Source organism: Homo sapiens, chromosome 5 (assembly GCF_000001405.40).
Source record: "Homo sapiens chromosome 5, GRCh38.p14 Primary Assembly".
NCBI classification, from domain to species: Eukaryota; Metazoa; Chordata; class Mammalia; order Primates; family Hominidae; genus Homo; species Homo sapiens.
The window spans coordinates 80,220,502-80,242,534 of NC_000005.10; the positions used below are offsets into that span (position 1 = coordinate 80,220,502).

The following is a 22,033-nucleotide window of genomic DNA, read 5'->3' on the forward strand; positions in this document are numbered from 1 at the left end:
CAGTCAGCTGGGTGGAGTGGATGTTGGACTGGGCAAAGAAGGCTCCTTTGAAGATTCTGGATCTTTCTCACCCCTCCTTCCTTCCCCTGCAAGGAAATCCAAGGCCTCAACACTCAGGGAGCCCCAAGTGGAGAGCTAGTTTGGGGCCAGGACACACCTGATTGATGCCGCCTCTGAGGTAGGCGCCTCTGAGTCACTGCCCTCCATGGAGAGAAAGGAATCTGAGGGCTCCAGACAGGAAACTGAGGGGTGAAGTGGGGAGGGGGGCAATCAAGTAGTAACTGGAAAAAAAAGGACTCTGATGTGGTGGTGGGAGTGGTGGTGGTAGGAGGGTGGCCTGGGGAGATGGAGGAGCCTGCTGGAGTGACAGGAACAGAGGTTTGGGAGGAGCGTGGATGTATGCATGAGACAGCAGGGAAGAAATGGGGTCTTGAGCAGCGTGGATGAGGGAAAAGAGCCAGGAAGTGGAGGAAGCCCCCCAAGAGTGGAGGAAGCCCCCCAAAACAGGTCAGCCCTGAGCAGAACAAAAGCAGAGACTGCCTCACTGCAAGAGCAGAGAGCACTCGGCCATGCTAGAGGACCTTGGCTCAATGGTACTCCAAAGGGGGCTCATGAACAGCTGCCTGGGCATCACGGGGAGTCTCAGCCTCCATCCCAGATCTGCTGAAGCAGAACTGGAGCCTGCAGGGTAAAAATAAATAAATAAATAAATAAATAAACCTTCCCAGGGGATCATCTGACATCAGCCGACAGCAGGCACATTTAACAATCCTGCGCACCTTTAATAATCCTGTGTTCAAGTGATGACAACACGCCACACACCCAACAGCCAGCTGCCCTCGCTCTTCATTCAGAAGGGTCCTTTGGTGATGGCAAATAACAAAAGCAAGTTTCCCGTGCGATCACACACGACTTCAATATAACAGATAAGGGAATCATGAGAGACTAGCATGCAGTCTCTGAAAAAGGTATCTGTAATTCAACCTGGAAAAAATGCTAATGGACACATCCTTAGGAGAGATGAATACACAAAAATATTAACCAGGATTATGGGATGTTAGATGGCCTTTGTTTACTTTATCTTGTCTATGTTTTCAAGGTTTAACATTAAGCACGAATTTCATAAGTTTTTTAAATGAAGAGAAAACTGCAATATTTTAATAGGTAAAGAATCAAAGAGTAGAAAAAAAGTAAAAAGCCTATTTAATTTGCTACCCACCATATAGGATATGTTTTGTTGTCTGTAAAATGCACTCCATTGGTCTACATTAAAAAGCAAGACAACTTTAGCAAAAAAAAAAAAAATCAATGAACATCAAAAGAAAATAAATACTATAAAATGAGTTTTGAGGATACCTTTAATGGCCAGACACGGTGGTTCACGCCTATAATCCCAGCACTTAGGGAGGCCAAGGTGGGAGGGTCTCTTGAGCCCAGGAGTTCAAGACCACCCTGGGTTGTGGGGAGACATCAGCTCTACAAAAAAATTTTCTTAATTAGCTAGGCGTGGTGGTGCCCATCTGCAGTCCCAGCTACTTGAGAGGCCGAGGCAAGGAGAATCACTTAAACGCAGGAGGTGGAGGTTGCAGTGAGGTGTGATCGCACCACCACACTCCAGCCTGGGTGACAAAGTGAGACTTTGTCTCAAATAATAATAATAATAGCTTTAATAAAAATGGTCCCAAGCTCACTCTCTAGGGTAAGCACTTTCCAGACACTGAGGAACAAACACAGAGGACGCAGGGGAAAATCTGCTACGCTATGCTCCCTGAAGAAGAATCACCCCCACTTTGCAACTGTGGATGGGCCACTGTTTCAAAGCAATTTCTCAGTGGCGGGACAAAGCTTTGCTGAATCATTATCTCCTGTTATTACCTCACATCATCACGGACAAGTTAGGTGTCTACAAGGAGACTCGAGAAATGTGATATGGTGGCCTCTGAAACAGAGATTTACTTCATAATAACAAAACTGGACCACGTGGGAACCAAATCCAAAATTGTGACCTCACCAGATCCAACCCAGAAGTTTTGGTGGGTTTTTTGTGGGTGAGTGTGTGAGTGTGTGAGTGTGTGTGTGTGTGTGTTTGAGACGGAGTTTCGCTCTTGTTGTCCAGGCTGGAGTGCAATGGAGCGATCTCGGCTCACTGCAACCTCTGGCTCCTGGGTTCAAGCAATTCTCCTGCCTCAGCCTCCCAAGTGGCTGGGATTACAGGTGCCTGCCACCACACCTGGCTAATTTTTTGTATTTTTAGTAGAGATGGGATTTCACCATGCTGTCCAGGCTGGTCTCGAACTCCTGGCCTCAGGTGATCCACCCGCCTCGGCCTCCCAAAGTGCTGGGATTACAGGTGTGGGCCACCATACCGGCCAGTTTTTTAGACAGTCTCACTCTGTTGCCCAGGCTGGAGTACAGTGGTACGGTCACAGCTTACTGCAGCCTCGACCTCCTGGGCTCATGTGATCCTTCCATTTTGGCCTCCCAACTGGCTGGAACTACTGTGCCAGAATGCCTGGCTAATTTTTTTTATTTTTTTATAGAGATGAGGTCTCACTATGTTGCCCAGGCTGGTCTTGAACTCCTGGACTCAGGCAATCCACCAGCATCAGCCTTCCCAGGTGCTGGGATTACAGGCATGAGCCGCTGTGCCCAGCCTAGCTTGCCTTTTCATAAACAAATATGCCTGGGATTTTATAAGGCATATAGCTATCCCTCAGTATCTGCGAGGGACTGGTTCCAGGACCCCTCGCGTGAATATCAAAATTCTCATATGCTCAAGTCCCTGATATAAAATGGAATTTGCATATAATCTATGCATATCCTCCTATATACTTTAAATTATCTCTAGATTACTCATAATACCTGATACAATGTAAATGCCATGTAAATTTGTTGTGCTATATTTTTTAATTTGTATTATTTTTATTGTTTTGTTTTTTTCCCCAAATATTTTTGATCCATGGTTTGTTCAATCCAGACACAGAATCCACGGATACAGAGGGCTGACTATATATATCATCATATTCTTTTATAAAATTATAACTGGTTAGTATCACTAACTTTCTCATGGTATACAGTAAGGATAGGCTATTCATGCTTTCTAAAGAATATCCCACCCTGAGAGCAAGTTCGAGGGTCAAAGTTCTAATTAAATTAAAATAAAATGCAATCATACAGACTAAATTCCTAGTACCCTACGCATCCAGAATGATTTGAAAGAATGCATTCCTGAGCTTGGCAGGGTGGGTAGCTCTCACCATAGCCAGGAATAGATGAAAACCTCAAGATTTAATCTGTGATGATACAACTATCTACTCATCAACGAGAAAGTTAGAAAAGTCAAGCCGGGCGCGGTGGCTCACGCCTATAATCCCAGCACTTTGGGAGGCCGAGGCAGGCAGATCACCTGAGGTCATGAGTTCAAGACCAGCCTGGCCAACATGGTGAAACCCCGTCTCAGATAAAAATACAAAAAAAAAAAATTAACTGGGCGTGGTGGCGGGCGCCTGTAATCCTAGCTACTTGGGAGGCTGAGGCAGGAGAATCGCTTGAACCTGGGAGGCAGAGGTTGCAGTGAGTGGAGATCCTGTCATTGCACTCCAGCCTGGGCGACAAGAACAAAACTCCGTCTCAAAAAAAAAAAAAAAAGAAAAAAGAAAAAGAAAAGTCAGAAATGAATCTGGGCACAGTGGCTTATCCCTGTAATCCCAGCACTTTGGGAGGCTGAGGCGAGCAGATGGCTTGAGTCCAGGAGTTTGAGACCACAGGAGTTCAAGACCACCCTGGGCAAAGTGGCAAAACCCCACCCCTACAAAAAATACAAAAATTAGCCAGGCTTGGTGGCACACGACTATAGTCCCAGCTTCTCAGGAGGCTGAAGTGAGAGGATCCCTTGAGCCCAGGAGGTCGAGGCTGCAATGAGCAGATACTGCACCACTGCACTCCAGCCTGGGTGACAGAGCAAGACCCTGTCTCAAAAGAAAAAAAAACAGTCATGTTTGATGAGCCACCATGTTAGCCAACATCCAGTCCTTCCAAAGAAGGGAGAAATTGGGGAAGAAAAGAGAAAATAGGCAGCAGAAACAATAGTAACAGAAGCAACAGCTCTTGAAAAGTGTATAAAAACACAACTTTTTTTTTTAAAGACGGAATTTCCCTCTTGTTGCCCAGGCTGGAATGCGATGGTGTGATCTCGGCTCACTGCAACCTCCATCTCCTGGGTTTAAGTGATTCTCCTGCCTCAGCCTCCCGAGTAGCTGGGATTACAGGAATGCACCACCACGTCTAGCTAATTTTGTATTTTTAGTAGAGACGGGGTTTCACCATGTTGGTCGGGCTGGTCTCAACCTCCTGACCTCGTGATCCACCTGCCTTGGCCTCCCAAAGTGCTGGAATTACAGGCGTGAGCCATCACGCCCAGCGTTTTTTTTTTTGTTTTTTTTTGTTTTTTTTTTTTTTAGACAAGTTTTGCTCTTGTTGCCCAGGCTGGAGTGCAATGGCGTGATCTTGGCTTACTGCAACCTCTGCCTCCCAGGTTCAAGCAATTCTCTTGACTCAGCCTCCCGAGTAGCTGAGATTACAGGGGCACGCCACCACACCCAGCTAACATTTGTATTTTTAGTAGAGACTGGGTTTCACCATGTTGCCCAGTCTGGTCTCAAACTCCTGACTAACCCAAACACAACTTTTTGAGTACCTGTTATGTGCAACATATACTTCACTAGATTCTTTACATAAGTTACAGAATTTAATGTTTATCACAGCCCTATGCTGTTATCATCCACCTCTATTATAATGAGAAAGTGGATCAAATAACACAGACAAACCTATTAAATAGAACTGGAATTTCTGCCTCAGTCAGGTGACTCCTAAGTCCATTTGTTTGCAATACTTTATAATGTTTAATGATTGGTGTAACACCTTGATCACACCTTCACAACCTTCCTCTCATTCTATCTTTATAACCATTCCACAAGGCAGGCAGGGAGAGTAGCATCATTCCCAACATAGAGACAAATGTGAAGCCTGAATAAGTTACCTTATTTTTGGAACTCATTCTCCTTCTTCCTGATAGCACCCTGCTGGATGAGTGCAATGAGCAGCAAAGCCTTGATGGTGCTGACAGAGGAGACCAGCAACACCCGAAAAGACAAAGACAGCAGCTTTGCTACTTCCATACTGCCTTAAAAGAGTAGGGTTATCCCATGCACCTGTGTAATATGCACTCACACATGCACACGAGTGTGTACGCAAGGGCAGAGAACAAAGCCCTAAAGACGGAACAAAGCCCCACAGCCCTAGTTCTATTTCTAAATGTCAAACTTTGCAGCACGTTCAACAATTTAAGGAGGCAGAGAATTATATCCTGTGCTTCCATCGAAACACCAAAATTAAAGATGTGAGTGTCTTTGGTAACCAAGGAGATCCTTCTACCCAGCACTCATTATAAGTAATAGTTACCTATCATTTCTTAAGTACTTCCTATGTATCAAGGTACTACTCTAAGGTGCTTTCAAGACCTTTCATTTAATCTCCCCAAAGGAAAAAAAAAAACCACCCCCCTGCCTTTTGTTTGAGACAGTGTCTCACTCTGTCCCCCCAGGTTGGAGTGCGGTAGCACGATCTCAGCTCACTGCAACCTCCAACTCCCACTTCAAGCGATTCTCGTGCCTCAGACTCCCAAGTAGCTGGAGTACAGGTGCACACTATGATGCCTGGCTAATTTTTTGTATTTTTTAGTAGAGACGGGGTTTTGCCATGTTACAGGCATGAGCCACTGCATCCGGCCAAAAATAACCCTTTGATAGAAGTATCACAATCTCCATTTGACAGATGAGGAAATCTGAGTCTCAGAGGTTAACCGACTTTCCAGAAGCCACTTTGGGATAAACCAAAATCCTGATCTCTGATTCCAGAGCCCAACAGGATTCCAAAACCAGTTTTCCTTCACCAGATCTCAGGATATCTGGAATATACTGTTTTGACCCCTCCTCCACCTACTCCCCTATAGAAACATAAAATCAAGAGAGACCCTAAAACAGGTGCATGCACCTACAGCAGTCAGAAGAGCCCACTGGATGCTGCCCCTTGTGAGGGCTAGTCCTGACCTTGAGATGTGCCATTCCCAATGCTTTCTGCGAGAACACAGCACAGCCTTGGGCATCCCACCACCGTTCCGAAAGCCATTCTTCATTCTTCTTGTAATTTGTGGCAGTGATACTAATAATAATTTTTTTAAATAATAGGAAATTGCATTGTGCATTTTCTAGGTGCCAGGTAGGGTCCTCAGTTCTTAGCATGGATTTACTTCATCCTCACAATAATCCCATGAAGTAAATACTCATATTGCCATTTTTCACAAGTAAGAGGATTATAATTTAAATTTTTGGCATAATATGCCCTACTTTTTTTGAGATGGAGTCTGGCTCTGTTGCCCAGAGCTGGAGTGCAGTGGCATGATCTCAGTTCACTGCAACCTCCACCTCCCGGGTTCAAACAATTCTCCTGTCTCAGCATCCTGAGTAGCTGGGATTATAGGTGCCCCCCACCACGCCCGGCTAATTTTTGTATTTTTTGTAGGGACAAGGTTTCACCATGTTGGCCAGGCTGGTCTTGAACTCCTGACCTAAGGTGATCCACCCACCTCAGCCTCCCAAAGTGCTGGGATTACAGGCATGAGCCACTGCGCCTGGCCTATGCCCTACTTTTATAATCAGAAAAAATTTTATAAGCTATACTGACTGAAAAATGAGGAAAAGACAAAATAAGTAGAGAAAACATAAAGGAAGAAAAGAGAGAAAAAGGAAAAACGAATTCCATTTTTTTCACAAATGAGAAAACTGAGGTCTCTCCTAAGGTCGAGATAGGAACTCAGTCAGCCAGGCCCTAAACTCTTTCCTGTGCTGCTATGGTGCCGTCTCTAGAGCAGAGCTGTCTCTAGAGAGTCACAGCACACCTCATAATAAAACTGTGTTTACAGCCGGGAGCAGCGGCTCACACCTCTAATCCTAGCTCTTTGGGAGACCCAGGCGGGTGGATCACTTGAAGCCAGGAGTTTGAGACCAGCCTGGACAACATGGTGAAACCCCGTCTCTACTAAAAATACAAAAAAAAAAAAAGAATCGCATGTGTAGATGTTTATTTTTAAATTGACTACCTGATTTTTGCAGTCAATCATTTGAAAGTTAAAAATTCAAAAACTAGCCAGGGTGGGGGCGAACACCTGCGGTCCCAGCTACTCAGGAGGCTGAGGCATGAGAATCGCTTGAACCCGGAAAGCAGAGGTTGCAGTGAGCCAAGATAGTGCCACTGCACTCCAACCTGGACGACAGAGTGAGACCCTGACTTACAAAAAAGAAAAAACCTGTGTTTACACAAGGTAAGAAGGTTTAAAAGTTTCTAGCAATTATTCTGGACTTTGGTTAAAAGTACAGACACTTGGCCTGCATGGTGGCTCACATCTGTAATCCCAGCACTTTGAGAGGCCAAGGTGGGTGGATCACTTGAGCCCAAGAATTCGAGACCAGCCTGGGCAACATGGCAAAACCCCATCTCTACAAATAATATGAAAAAAAAAAAAAATTAGCCAGGCATGGTAGCATGCACCTGTAGTCTCAGCTGCCCAGGAGACTGAGATGGGAGGATCACCAGAGCCTGTGAGGTCAAGAAGGCTACAGTGAGCTATGATTTCGGCACTACACTCCAGCCTGGGCAGCAGAGTGAGTGAGGGAGGGAGGGAGGGAGGGAAAGGAGGGAGGGAAGGAAAGGAGGGAGGGAGGGAGGGAGGGAAAGGAGGGAGGGAGGGAGGGGGAGAGGAGGAAGGAAGGAAGGAAAGAAAAAATGTATAGACACTCAGCATAAAACAGAGTGAAAACTGAGTTTGGCACTTGTAGTATGTATAAAATTTGAATCACAATCCAAATCTTTCATCATTGCCTTTCTCTTTCAACTATTAAGAATTTTTTTTTTGTTTAAGAAAGGGTCTCATTCTGTTGCCCACACTGGAGCGCAGTGGTCCAACCATAGCTCTTTGGAGCCTTGAACTCCTTGCCTCAAATGATCCTCCTGCCTCAGCCTCGCAAGTACTTAGGACTACAGGCACATGCCACCATGCCCTGCTAGTTTTTTTATTTTATTTTTTGTTTGCTATACTCCCCAGGCTGGTCTTAAACTCCCAGCCTCAATCCCAAAGCACTAGGATTACAGACATGAACCACCATGCCCAGCCAGGACAAAAATTTTAAGTTGCCTAAATTCTCATTCACTATCATTCTGCACAAAATGTCCTTGTCTAAAATTTCCCACATAATTCATGGTTTTTTCTTGTTGATAGCATTAGAATACCTCACACTCTAATATAAATAAAAAGATCATTCCAAACTCTTCAAAGTTAACTATGACAAGAAACAAGAACAAAAGAAAAAGGTGGAAAACAAAAACTATACTTAGGCTTACAACAAATTTAGTGATAAATTCAGAGAATTTCTTTTTTCTCAAAATACCACCAATGTTTTACATACCTTTTTTTTTTTTTTTTTTTTTTTTTTTTTGGGGATGGAGTTGCCTAGGCTGGAGTGCAGTGGTGCGATCTCGGCTCACTGTAACCTCCACCTCCTGAGTTCAAGCGATTCTTGTGCCTCAGCCTCCCCAGTAGCTAGGATTACAGGCGCATGCCACCACGCCCGGCTAATTTTTGTATTTTTAGTAGAGATGGGGTTTCACCATGTTGGCCAGGCTGGTCTCTAACTGCTGACCTCAAGTGATCCACCTGCCTTGGTCTCCCAAAGTGCTGGGATCACAGGGGTGAGCCACCATTCCTGGCATTTTACATACTTACACAATTTTTTTTTTTTTTTTTTTTGCTAATTTAACATCTCAGAATCCTCTTTTCAGAGACTGCAAAAAACAAAATAGTTTTGCAACCAACCTTTAAAGTTATTGAGTAACTAAAAGTGATCAATATAAACAAACTAGAATTTGAACTCACCTACATTGAACATTCATTGTTTAAGTCAACACTAGGAAAGGGTAAAAGTAAACAACAAAAAATTGCTCCTTAATGTAGGGAGAAATCTCTTGGCCAGTGAAGCAATACAAAAACACAGACATTCTGCTTACAGGAACTAATTAAAAAGAAAAGGAAAAAACAAAACACAGACCTGTTCAGCCATATAAAGTTATAATGATGAACATCTGTAAAGATTACATGAAATCACCCATGTAAAGTGCTCAGCACATGTGCCTGGTCCGTAAGTGTTTAATGTTAGCTTGCATGCATGCTCATTTCATTCAATACAAGGCTACTTAAATGCTCTGTGCCTCTGCTGCCTCATACAAAACAGAGACAACAGTAGTTCCTACATCATAGGATTATTAGGACTGAGAATGTTTTCAAGGCACTTAGAACGTTAATTGTCAATATTATTCTCAGTGTGCTCGAAAAGGAAGGCCAGAGGTTTACAGGGCTGGGATCTAAACCTAGTCACTCCAAAGCACTAGCATCTCATTTCCTCAAACTCTGGGAGATTTACCTAGTTGCCAGCTCTCCTCCCACTGCTCAGGAAATTCCCAGGGCAGAAGGAACCCAAGGACTCGCTCCCTCTTGGAGGCTCAGCCTGCTCCAGGAGCTTGCAGCTCTAGCATCCCCAACCCCATCACCCAAACCTCACACCTGACCAAAAACCTATTGGCCAGGCACGGTGGTTCATACCTGCAATCCCAGCACTTTGGGAGGCTGAGGCAGGCAGATCACTTGAAGTCAGGAGTTCAAGACCAGCCTGGCCAACATGGTGAAACCCTGACTCTACTAAAAATACAGCAAAATGAAGTGTGGTGGCATGCACCAGCTACTCAGGAGGCTGAGATAGGAGAACCATTTGAACCCAGGAGGGTGAGGTTGCAGTGAGCCAGGATCCCGCCACTGCATTCTAGAGCAAGACTGTCACAAAAAAAAAAAAAAAAAGAAACCATTGCTCTTCAAATTTGTTTGCCAACTACTGATTTCTCTTTTCAAACGGGGCTTGAGGGAAGTTTTATAACCATGTAAAACAAATAATAATGCAACAACAGCCGCCACTCTCATTTATGCAGCACTCCCTTACAAGTGCCGTCACAGACTCTGTGACACCAGCACAATCTCTCCCAACCTGTCAGGTATTACTGTTATTATTATTTTTCTCCTCTGTACCAGTTGGGAAACTTGGACTCTAGGAAATAAATTGCCCAAGGTCACAGCTCCTTTGTGGTGAGCACAGGGTCCAAACCCAGGTATAATTTCTCTCTTTCTTTCTTTCTTTCTCTCTCTCTCTCTTTCCTTTCTTTCTCTCTTTCTTTCTGACAGTATTCTATCCCAGGCTGGATGGAGTGCAGTGGCACGATCACAGCTCACTGCAGCCTCAACCTCCTGGGCTCAAGCAATCCTTCCTCCTCAGCCTCCCGAGTAGCTGGAACTACAGGCGCACACTACCAACCTGGCTAATATTTGTATTTTTTGTAGAGACTGGGTTTTGCCCGGCTGGTCTCGAACTCCTGGCTTCAAGCAGTCCTCCTACCTCAGCCTCTCACATGGTGGGATTACAGGTGTGAGCCACTGCAACAGCCCCAGGTAGTTTCAAAGCCAGTATTCTTAACTACCTCACCAAAGTGAATGTGGAAAAGAGAAAAAGGGAATAGTACTTTTAAAAAACAGTTAACTATAGAAAACCCAATCAAAATTCATTTTCCAATTAAGTTATTGCTTAGTAAATGAAAATATTAAATAAAGAACCGGCTACTGCTCCACATGGCAAGGAAGTGTACTTCAGTGCTGACAACCCCATTACTCAGGAGAACAGTTTAACTGTGATATATGGATGGCTCCAGTGACCACTGCCACTGTATTTATAGTTTGTGATCTGTATAAACAAAATCATTTCTCATGCCTGTAACAGCATCTACTGCAGGCCTTTGTTACTTACAATTAAATCTCTATAAATGTTTAAATCTCATGGTCACAAAAAAAATGAGTCAGCCATCTAAGAATGACTGGTCACCAGTTCCCAAAACACAACCTCCAGCGTCATGACCACCAGCCCCAGTAGGTCTAAATTCCAGATGAATAATTCTTCCAACGTACAGTCAAATTAAAAAAAAAAAAAATCAATAGAATCGAGAACCCAGAAATAAAGCTTAACACTGACAGTCAACTAATTCTGCCAAGATAATTCAACTGGGAAAGAATAGTCTTTTCAACAAATGTTGGTGGAACTGGATATTCAAATGCAAAACAATGAAGTTGGACCCTTTCCCCATACCAGACAAAAATTAACTCATTAAGAATGGCCAGGTGCAGTGGCTCATGCCAGTAATCCCAGCACTTTGGGAGGCCAAGAAGGGAGGATTACCTGAGCCCAAGAGTTGGAGACCAGCCTGGGCAACATAGTGAGATCCCATCTCTATAAAATACCAAAAAAGTTAGCCAAGCATGATGGCATGCTCCTGTGGTCCCAGCTACATGAGAGGCTGAGGCAGGAGGATCACTTCAGCCTGAGGGTTCAGGGCTGTAGTGAGCCACGACTGTGCCACCACACTCCACCCTGAGAAACAGACCAAGATTCTGTCTTAAAAAAAAAAAAAAAAAAAAAGGCCGGGCAAGGTGGCTCACGCCTGTAATCCCAGCATTTTGGGAGGCCAAGGCGGGCAGATCACGAGGTCAGGAGATCAAGACCATCCTGGCTAACACCGTAAAACCCTGTCTCTACTAAAAATACAAAAAAAAAGCCGGGCGTGGTGGCAGGCCCCTGTAGTCCCAGCTACTCGGGAGGCTGAGGCAGGAGAATGGCAAGAACCCGGGATGTGGAGCTTGCAGTGAGCTGAGATCACACCACTGCACTCCAGCCTGGGCGACAGAGTGAGACTCTGTCTCAAAGAAAAAAAAAAAAAAAGTGGAAACAACCCAAATGATCATCAGCAAGGAATGGGTTTCAGTAAAGTGTGGTATATTCCAGTAAAAGGAATGAAGTACTGGCCAGGCACAGTGGCTCACGCCTGTAATCCCAGCACTTTGGGAGGCCAAGGCGGGTGGATCATGAGGTCAGGAGTTCAAGACCAGCCTGGCCAACATAGTGAAGCCCCATCTCTACTAAAACTATGAAAATTAGCTGGGCATAGTGGCACACACCTATATTCCCAAATACTGAGGAGGTTGAGGCAGGAGAATCACTTGAACCCAGGAGGCAGAGGTTGTGCTGAGCCAAGATCACGCCACTGCACTCCAGCCTGGTGACAGAGCGAAACTCCATCTCAAAAAAAAAAAATAAAAAGGAATGAAGTACTGACACGTGCTACAACATGGATGAACCTTGAGAACATACTAAGTTAAAGAAGTAGTCCTAAAGACTGTACATTATATGGTTTCATTAATAGGAAACGTCTACAAAAGCCCATAGAGACAGCAAGTAGATTAACAATTGCCAGGGCTCTGAGGGAGTTTGGGAGGGAACTGGGAGTGACTGCTAATAAGCATAGAGGTGACAAAAACTAAGTTGTCATGATGGTTCCACAACTCTGTAAATATACTATAAAACCACTGAATTGCACACTTTAAATGACTGGGCTGTATATGCTATGTGAAACTACTTTTTACTTTAGCAATAATTTCTTTAAGGCCGGGTGCAGTGGCTCACGCCTGTAATCCCAGCACTTTGGGAGGCCAAGGAGGGCGGATCATCTGAGGTCGAGAGTTCGAGACCAGCCTGACCAATATGGAGAAACCCTATCTCTACTAAAAATACAAAAGATTAGCAGGGCATGGTGGTGCATGCCTGTAATCCCAGCTACTCAGGAGGCTGAGACAGGAGAATCACTTGAACCCGGGAGGCGGAGGTTGCGGTGAGCTGAGATCGCACCATTGCACTCCAGCCTGGGCAACAAGAGCAAAACTCCATCTCAAAAAAACAATAATAATTTCTTTAGTTAAAAATAACCTAATAGCCATTTTAGGATAAGTTTAAAAAAAACTCAATAATTCTAAAATCACTTGGTTGGACATCTCTGCTCATTAGAGAAGTGCAAGTGTGGACATCTCTCCAATGCCACTTTAAGAATAAAAATAAAACTAGGACTTTTTTTTTGAACACTTGTTAATTTAAATAGGAAGTATCCTATAAATAAATAGGAAGTATCCTATAAATAAAAAGTATCCCCAAAAGCAAATTCCTAGGACTTTAGGAGCTGAAATTGCTTCATATGTTTCTTAAGTTATTAGTCTGCTGTAAAATGCTTTGTAAAGTTTACAGGAAGTATTTTATAGATCTTTCAACTTTTACTTTTTTTTTTTTTTTTTTTTTTTTGAGACAGAGTCTCACTCTGTCGCCCAGGCTGGTGTGCAGCGGCATGATCTCGGCTCACTACAACCTCTGCCTCCCGGGTTCAAGTGATTCTTCTGCCTCAGCCTCCTGAGTAGCTGGGACTACAGGTGCCCGCCACCATGCCCAGCTAATTTTTGTATTTTTAGTAGAGACAGGGTTTCACCATATTGGCCAGGCTGGTCTCAAACTCCTGAACTCGTGATCCGTCCGTCTCAGCCTCCCAAAGTGCTGGGATTACAGGCGTGAGCCACCATGCCCGACCCCAACTTTTACTTTTAAGAGACTGCACATTTGAAATGGCTGAATCTTAGCACCAGAGCAGTCATTTCTCCAGCAATTTTCTTGTCTTGTACCAAAGCAGCCCTTTGAATAATACTTCCTAATAATCCACAGCCAGCTGGAGCACTTGACAAAGACTGATCTGACAGTTTAATCTTAGCACCATTGTTTTAGGATTGGCGTACCCGTTTTTTCCAGTTCCATTCACCTCACTACACTTAAGAAAAATCTACATTTACATATGTAAATTGTAGACAATGTTGATAAAAATAAATTACACCACATATTCATACCAGTTGTGCAACCAAATTGATGTTTCCTTTCTAATGCAAAAATGTGTTAAACTCTGTTATCTCCAAACCCACTTCTAAACACATCACACACTACCACCACTCCCACCACAAAGGGCAGGGATGATATCAAAATGAAAACAGTGCTAGCAAATACAATTATAAAACATGATGAATTTCGCACATTTAGGTTTGCTAAAATAAGCTTTAAAGTTGTTGAATGAAAAACAAATGCCCCCAACGTTATCCCCTACCCTCCAACCTCCTATTATTACTCTATTGCTGTAACCACCGGTGGCAGTTTCTAGGATATCTTTAAAACTCTCAGAATTATTGCATATATATGTACCTACATACATGGATACATACATGCCTTTCAAATTGGAAACCATAATTGGGTTCATCATAGACACAGTGTTCTTTAACCTCCTCTTTTTATAACCCCTACTTAACTAACACTGTTATCTTGGCTACCTGTTCCTCACAGATTTAACTTACTCTTTTTTTTTACTATGCTGAAACACACATAACATTAAACTTATCATCCTAACCACTTTTAAGTGTACAGTTCAGTAGTGTTAAGTATATTCATATTGTTGTCCAACAGATTTCTATAACTTTTTCATCACGCAGCACTGAATCGCTATACCCACTAAACACAAGTTCTCCCTCCTACCTCCTCTGGGCCCTTGGGAACCACCTTTCTACTTTCTATGATTTTGACTACTTTAGACACTTCATATGAGTGGAATCATACAGTATTTGTCCTTTTGTGACTTTTATTGTATACTTTTATTTCACTTAGCATAATGTCCTTGAGGTGCAACCACGTTGTAGTATGTGACAAGTTTTCCTTCTTTATTAAGGCTGTATAATATTCCATTGTTAATTTCATTCTTTTTAACGGCAACATATTTCATTGTATGAAAGGCTAGTAACTTTTTATTTCAAATTAGTCTTCATTATCAGTGTTTAAGATGTTCCAAGTTTACTTCTAATACAAGAAATAGAAGAACTGCTAGACCCAAGAACATATTTAATTATGATTCAGACATTATGACAAAATAAATTCTCCATAAGTGAACAAACACAAATCAAGAAGAGTAGGTTTTTCTTTCACCTTTCTTTTTAACTTTGCCAATGAAAACTCTCTCATTTTTAATGGTAATTTTTTTGTTGTTTTTTGTTTGTTTGTTTTTGAGACAAGTCTTGCTCTGTCGCCCAGGCTGGAGTGCAGTGGCATGATCTTGGCTCACTGCAACCTCTCCCTCTTGGGTTCAAGCAATTCTCGTGCCTCAGCCTCCCAAGTAGCTGGGATTACAGGCATGAGCCACCGCGCCTGGCTGAATTGTAGTTCTTAAATTATAAGTAAGATTGAGCATTTTCTCACATTTGTTGGCATTTGCATTTTTTCCTAAATGATCCCTAACCTTTTAAATTTTTCTGTTATGTGTACTTTCTGTTGATTTATAAGAACACTGTGCAAATTAAGGCAAGTGGATCCCTGTTCTACGAATAACTGTGTGTCATGCTTAGAAAAATCTTGGCCATTTTAGATTATTTTAAAAGTTCACCCATCTTTTCTCAATACTTTTAATGGACTCCTTTTTAACCCATTTTATCACGGTTAAATACTGGATCTACACATTACTTATTTTAATGGAAAGGGTGTGGAGCAAACTTCAAAGAAAGCCTACTGACAACTTACAATTTGGATATCAGTATCCCAAGGGAGAGTGACGGTCCTCCCCAAAACTACAACATCTAACATTTATGAACTCATACTGTGGGCCAGCCACTGTTCCAAGCGCAAAATCCTATAAAAGAGATCCTAGGGATTATCCCATTTTACAGATGTACAAACTAAACAACAGACAGATGAAGTAACTGATCAAGGGCACACCACCAGTAAATGGCTGAGAACATACCGGAACTCAGGCTTCCTATCATTAGAACTGGCTCTTAACTTCTCAGCTACACCGCCTCTGAACTATATGCACAAAAAAGCCTAAAAAATCCACACCAAAAATATGTTTAAATTAATTCTCAGTAGAAAGCAGGTTTGTCCTTTTCCTCCCATCAAATACTTCAAGTAGCTTAAGTCCTAAATCTTTTTTTTTTTTTTTTCTTGAGACAGATTCTCGCTCTGTTGTCCAGGCTAGAGTGCCATGGCAGCTCGGCTCACTGCAACCTCCACCTCCTGGGTTCAAGCAATTCTCCTGCCTCAGTCTCCCAAGTAGCTGGGATTACAGGTGCACGCCACCACGCCCAGCTAATTTTTGTATTTTCAGTAGAGGCGGGGGTTTCACCATGTTGCCCAGGTTGGTCTCGAACTCCTGACCTCAGGTGATCCACCCGCCTCCGCCTCTCAAAGTGCTGGGATTACAGGCATGAGCCACCGCACCTGGCCCAGTGTTTCTTTTTTCTTTTCTTTTCTTTTTTTATTTTTTTGAGACAAGGTCTTGCTCTGTTGCCCAGGCTGGAGTGCAATGGTGCATTGTCATCTCACTGAAACCTCCATTTCCCAGGTTCAAGCGATTCTCCTGCTTCAACCTCCCGCCATCATGCCGGGCTAACTTTTTTGTATTTTGTAGAGACGGGGTTTCACCACGTTGGCCAGGCCGGTCTTTGAATTTCTGACCTCAGGTGATCCACCCGCCTCGGCCTCCCAAAGTGCTGGGATTACAGGCATGAGCCACTGCGCCCGGCCCCAGTGTTTCTTTTCTGGGCAGTATCACTGCCTGCCCCAGGGGTCAGGTGCATCCTTGGTAGTAAAGGCAGGGGCAGTGTTTTCACAAAGACTGGTGAGTGCTATTGGCATCTGGGGGTAAGTTAAATATCAGCTTTGCACAGGACTCTCTAATTGTTTTACAAACATCAAAAAAGGAGAATGAAATGCTAAGAAGAGAAGAAGAGGGCTTTCTCTCTCTTTTTTTTTCATGTCTTTTGTCATGTCACCCAGGCTGGGTTGCAGTGGTACAATCATGGCTCACTGCAGCTTCAACTTCCCAGCCTCAGGTGATCCTCCCACCTCAGCCTACAGAGTAGCTAGCACTACAAGTGCACGCCACCACGCCCATCTAATGTTTGTATTTTTTTGTAGAGATGGGGTTTCACTATGTTGCCCAGGCTGGTATCGAATTCTTGGGCTCAAGTAATCCGCCCACCTCGGCCTCCCAAAGTACTGGGATTACAAGCAAGAGCCACCTCCCCACCAGTTGCCAGTTCTCTCTAATAATCAGAGAATACCCTCAAGCAATCCATAATGAAAGGCAAATGAAATGAGCATTGGTGTTCCTCTCAAGCCCTGGGTCCAGCTATCTGCCACACCCCTCTGCAAGAAAAAAAAAAAGAAGTCAGAGACTCAGCCCTGCTGGAACTCTTGCTTCCAAAAAATATGCAATCGGCCAGGCACGGTGGCTCACGCCTGTAATCCCAGCACTTTGGGGAGGCCAAGGCGGGTGGATCACGAGGTCAAGAGATCGAGACCATCCTGGCCAACATGGTGAAACCCCATCTCTACTAAAAATACAAAAAATTAGCTGGGCGTGGTGGCGCGCGCCTGTAGTCCCAGCTGCTCAGGAGGCTGAGGTAGGAGACTCACTTGAACCCGGGAGGCAGAGATTGCAGTGAGCAGAGATCGCACCACTGCACTCCAGCCTGGGCGACAGAGTAAGACTCTGTCTCAAAAAAAAAAAAAAAAAAAGAAAAGAAAAAAGAAAAATTGCAATCCCGTGGCAACCCTCATTCCTCCCCGCCCCCCATCATAAGGAAATAATTTACAGCTTCATGCTTTTCAAAGCCTCCAGCCAGAAGCCGCTGCTAGGCAAAATGATTTGCATAAAGTGCCTCATTTAAATGGCTTCATACCCCTTACTCAGCAACCTGCAACTTCCGCCAACTACACTAACGGTGAGATAGTACACTCTTAGAAACCGCTTTCTGTTAAATTCTATCATCCACGCATAGAGCAGAACTTTCTGGAAAATAACTTAAACAACTGCTTGAGAGTTTAAGAGAAGGAAGGGAACAAAAAGTTTAAACAGATTTTATTACAACAAAATACAGTATAAAACCCCAATCCAGAGCCAGGCATGGTGGCGCATGCCTGTAATCCCAGCATTTGGGAGGCTGATGCAGGTGGATTGCCTGAGGTCAGGAGTTCCAGACCAGCCTGACCAACGTGGCAAAACCCGATCTCTACTAAAATACAAAAATTTGCTGGGCGTGATGGCAGGCACCTGTAATCCCACTACTTGGGAGGCTGAGGCAGGAGAATAGCTTGAACCCTGGAGACAGAGGGTAGAGGTTGCAGTGAACTGAGATCCTGCCACTACACTCCAGCCTGAGCCACAGAGCAAGACTTCATCTCAAAAAAAAAAAAAAAAAAAACCCAATCCGAGATTCAAATAATCAAATCATAAGACTGTGTTTAAAATCCATAGCTATGAGCTCTTTGTTGAACTGCTCTGCACAGACAGCAGATTATCTTTGGGAAAAGCCCAACATCCACTCATTCACGCTCTCGTCATTTACCAAAGGCCAAGTGTGTACTGGGCATTGGAAAATAGCAAAGGCTAGGAGAGCACAGGGGTAGTACCTGCTGTGAGCTGACTAGCTGTGTGGCCTTGGAAGATACCCTGTGCTCCAGGACCTGTTTCCTGAAAAAAACTTATTAGGTGGATATGCCACTGCCTTAAGGATCCTTCTAGCTCCAGAATTAGACTGTGACTTCCCAGATTCTCACAACCCCATGGACAGCCCATAAGCCATCTGAGAATGGCAACGCAGGACCCGGAGCAACGGGCATTACGCCCATCAGAAACCTCATCAGCAGCTGTGAGACTTTCTCTGGCTGGCTGCCAACCAAAGACTTCCCACAATGGTTCTAATTTCAAACTGCCTGACCATTATCCTTAAAAACTATTGGAGTGTGCTAAAAGGTCTGATATTTTGGCTTCTTAGTGAAATTTCTCATACCCAGAGGCACAATCCCCCTTGTCAGCATGCCCCCAATTTTCAGTTTATGGTTTGGGTGAACACTGGGATTCTTTTTTTTTTTTTTTTTCATGTCACATGGGTAATGTACCAACGACATGACAAGATTTAAGGGAGGCACATCTCACAGACAAGCATGAAAACCCAATCATCATGCTTATGAACTAAAAAGGAAACTGGATTCTTACAATCAGAAACAGGAATATCAACCAAATTGTGGTACCCTATGAGCCAGGAGCCACAGACCATGCCCACCTTCCACTCCGCCTCTTTTAACTTTATTATACAAAAATAGCTGTATCCCTCCCCAGGATACAGGCAAGTCACTACAGCCTTGAGAAGCCAGCAGGAAGAAGAATTAAACCAGATCTCCCTAAGGGTGAAGTAGAGCTGCCTTCAAAGATAGGAAGTTCCTGCCTCTGGAGTTGTTTGTTTATTATGGTACAAGAAATCGAGCACAATTGGGTCAGAAGAACAGAAGACCCTTCCAGCGCCAATTTTCTGGGAGGTGGTCCAAAGGAAGTCAGTGGGGCCAGCTCTCTCCCTCAGACAGCTAACAGGAGCAAGGCTTGGTCAGCCTTCCTGAAGCTCTGCAAGTCCAAGGCTTCTGAGCTATTTATTCTATACTTACTTTGAAAACACAAAATTGCTCCAACAGGATGGATATGTTACGGAACAATTAGGCATAATAGGATGTGCATTTCTGTCTACTGAGAAACACCAGGTAGAAAACTGCACCAAGCTGAATTGAGCTTCGTGGTAATACACAAAAAATGCACACAGCTCAGCTCAACAAGTGCACTGAGTCACACCAAACACATTTGATGTTACAACTTTCCATCCAATTCCAGATAACCTTCCTCCCACTGCTTCTCAACTGCTCAAAAGCCTAACTCTCCAAACCCATTTCCACAAGGTAATTTGAAGACTTTTTCAAATAAAATGCCAAATTTACCATAGTAGTTATGTATTTCTTAACCATTTAACATTTATAAAACTATATCATTTTTATTCAGTTCCTTTTTTCAGATGTGTCACTGACAAAGTTTTAGAATATTGTGCCCTTAACCAAATTTTCCCCGTGAGACCTGTGGTTTCATTGTGCAGTTCTGCTTAATGTGGTAATTTTTAGAATGCGTATGTCATGTTGTATTGTAGCAGAACTATTTCCAGGGCTCTAGTGTAGAGTATTTACATTCATTCTTAAAAATTACACTAAATGTCCAAAAGGAAAATAAAATAAACATTTGTATGATTAATTAAATCATATAAACAGGTATCCCTCTGCTGCCCAGGCTGGAGTGCAATGGCAAGATCATGGCTCACTGCAGTCTCGACCTCCTCAGCCTGGCTCAAGTGATCCTCCCACCTCATCCCCCTGCCGAGCAGCCGGGACTACAGGTGCATGCCACCATGCCTGAATAATTTTTTGATATTTTGTAGAGATGAGTTCTCACTATTTTGCCCAGGCTAGTCTTGAACTCCTGGGCTCAAGTGATCCGCCCACCTCAGTCCCCAAAAAGTGCTGGGATTATAGGCATGAGCCACTGTGCTCGGCCGTGTATTTCTGTAAAGCATAAAATATTGTTTTTAAGTTAGTTTTCATATCATGTTACTTAATTCATCATTTCAAGATTAAATCAGTATCTAGTAAATTGATCTGCCTACCTAGCGATTGGTTTCCATCACTAATGATAAAAGTTTTGATGCTTCTCCCTTTTTCAAGGTGCTACATACTATAATCCTTAGAACATCTTAAGAAATAAAAAGGCAAGGCTGGGCACAGTGGCTCACACCTGTAATCTCAGCACTTTGGGAGGCCAAGGTGGGCGGATCACGAGGTCAGGAGATCGAGACCATCCTGGCCAACACAATGAAACCCCATCTCTACTAAAAATACAAAAATTAGCCAGGCATGGTGGCACGTGCCTGTAATCCCAGCTACTCGGGAGGCTGAGGCAGGAGAATTGCCTGAACCCAGGAGTCGGAGGTTGCAGTGAGCCAAAATCGCGCCACTGCACTTCAACCTGGTGACAGAGCAAGACTCCGTCTCAAATAATAATAAGAAGAAGAAATAAAAAGGCATATAAACACAGTGAAAAATATTCAATTAGCCCTCTCCTCAAAAAAAGATAAGAACAAAGAACAGAAGAGGAAATGAGCCAGGTTTCAGTTACTTGGTAGGCTGAGGCAGGAGGATCACCTGAGCAAAGGAGTTTGAGGCTGCAGTGAGCTATGATTGCACCTCTGCACCCCAGCCTGGGTGACAGGGTGAGAACCCATCGCTAAAAAATAATTAATAGGAATAAAAAAAAGAAGGGGAAATGAAATGGAAACTGATCAACAATTTATAGCCTTAAACTCAAACATATGAGTAATTACATTAAATGTAAATGATCCAAGCATCCAATTAAATGACAAAGATTGGCTGGGTACAATGGCTCACACATGTAATCCCAGCACTTTGGGAGGCCAAGGCAGGAGGATCACTTGGAGCCCAGGAGTTTGAGACCAGCCTGGGCAACATAGTAAGACCGTGTCTCCACAAAAGAGAATTAAAAAAAAAAAAATCCATGTCAGGTGATGCATATCTGTAGTCCTAGCTCCTTGGGAAGCTGAGGTAGGAGGATCACTTGAGCCCAGGGCATTGAAGGTATAGTGAGCTGTGAACGTATCACTGCACTCCAGCCTGGGCAATGGAACAAGATCCCATCTGAAAACACAACAAAACAAAAAAAGTGAAACAAAACAAAAAGGCAAAGATTGTCAGATTGGATTAAAAAGCAAGAAAGACCCAGTTCTATCACGTCTATAAAAAGCATACTTTTAAGTATAAAGACAGATTAGTTGAAAGCCAAAAGGGTGGTATGGCTATATTAGTATCTACCAAATACTAAAAAAAAGACCCTTTTAGAAAAATAGGTCAGGTGTGGTGGCTCACACCTGTAATCCCAGCACTTTGGGAGGCCAAGGTGGGTGGATCATTTGAGGTCAGGAGTTCGAGACCAGCCTGGTCAACATGGCGAAATCCCATTTTTACTAAAAATACAAAAATTAGGCCAGGCGCAGTGGCTCACGCCTATAATCCCAGCATTTGGGAGGCGAGGCGGGTGGATCACG

General features: G+C 43.6%; 1 protein-coding gene and 1 non-coding gene across 8 annotated transcripts in view; both read right to left on the reverse strand.

Annotated features, from left to right (window-relative positions):
• Positions 1–22,033, reverse strand: part of SERINC5 (serine incorporator 5) — a 144,824-nt gene that overhangs the window by 109,277 nt on the left and 13,514 nt on the right. The window lies entirely within an intron of this gene.
• On the reverse strand, positions 18,986–19,088 carry LOC124901201 (small nucleolar RNA U13). Its single transcript, XR_007059165.1, has one exon. It is a non-coding gene; the product is annotated as a small nucleolar RNA U13 (small nucleolar RNA).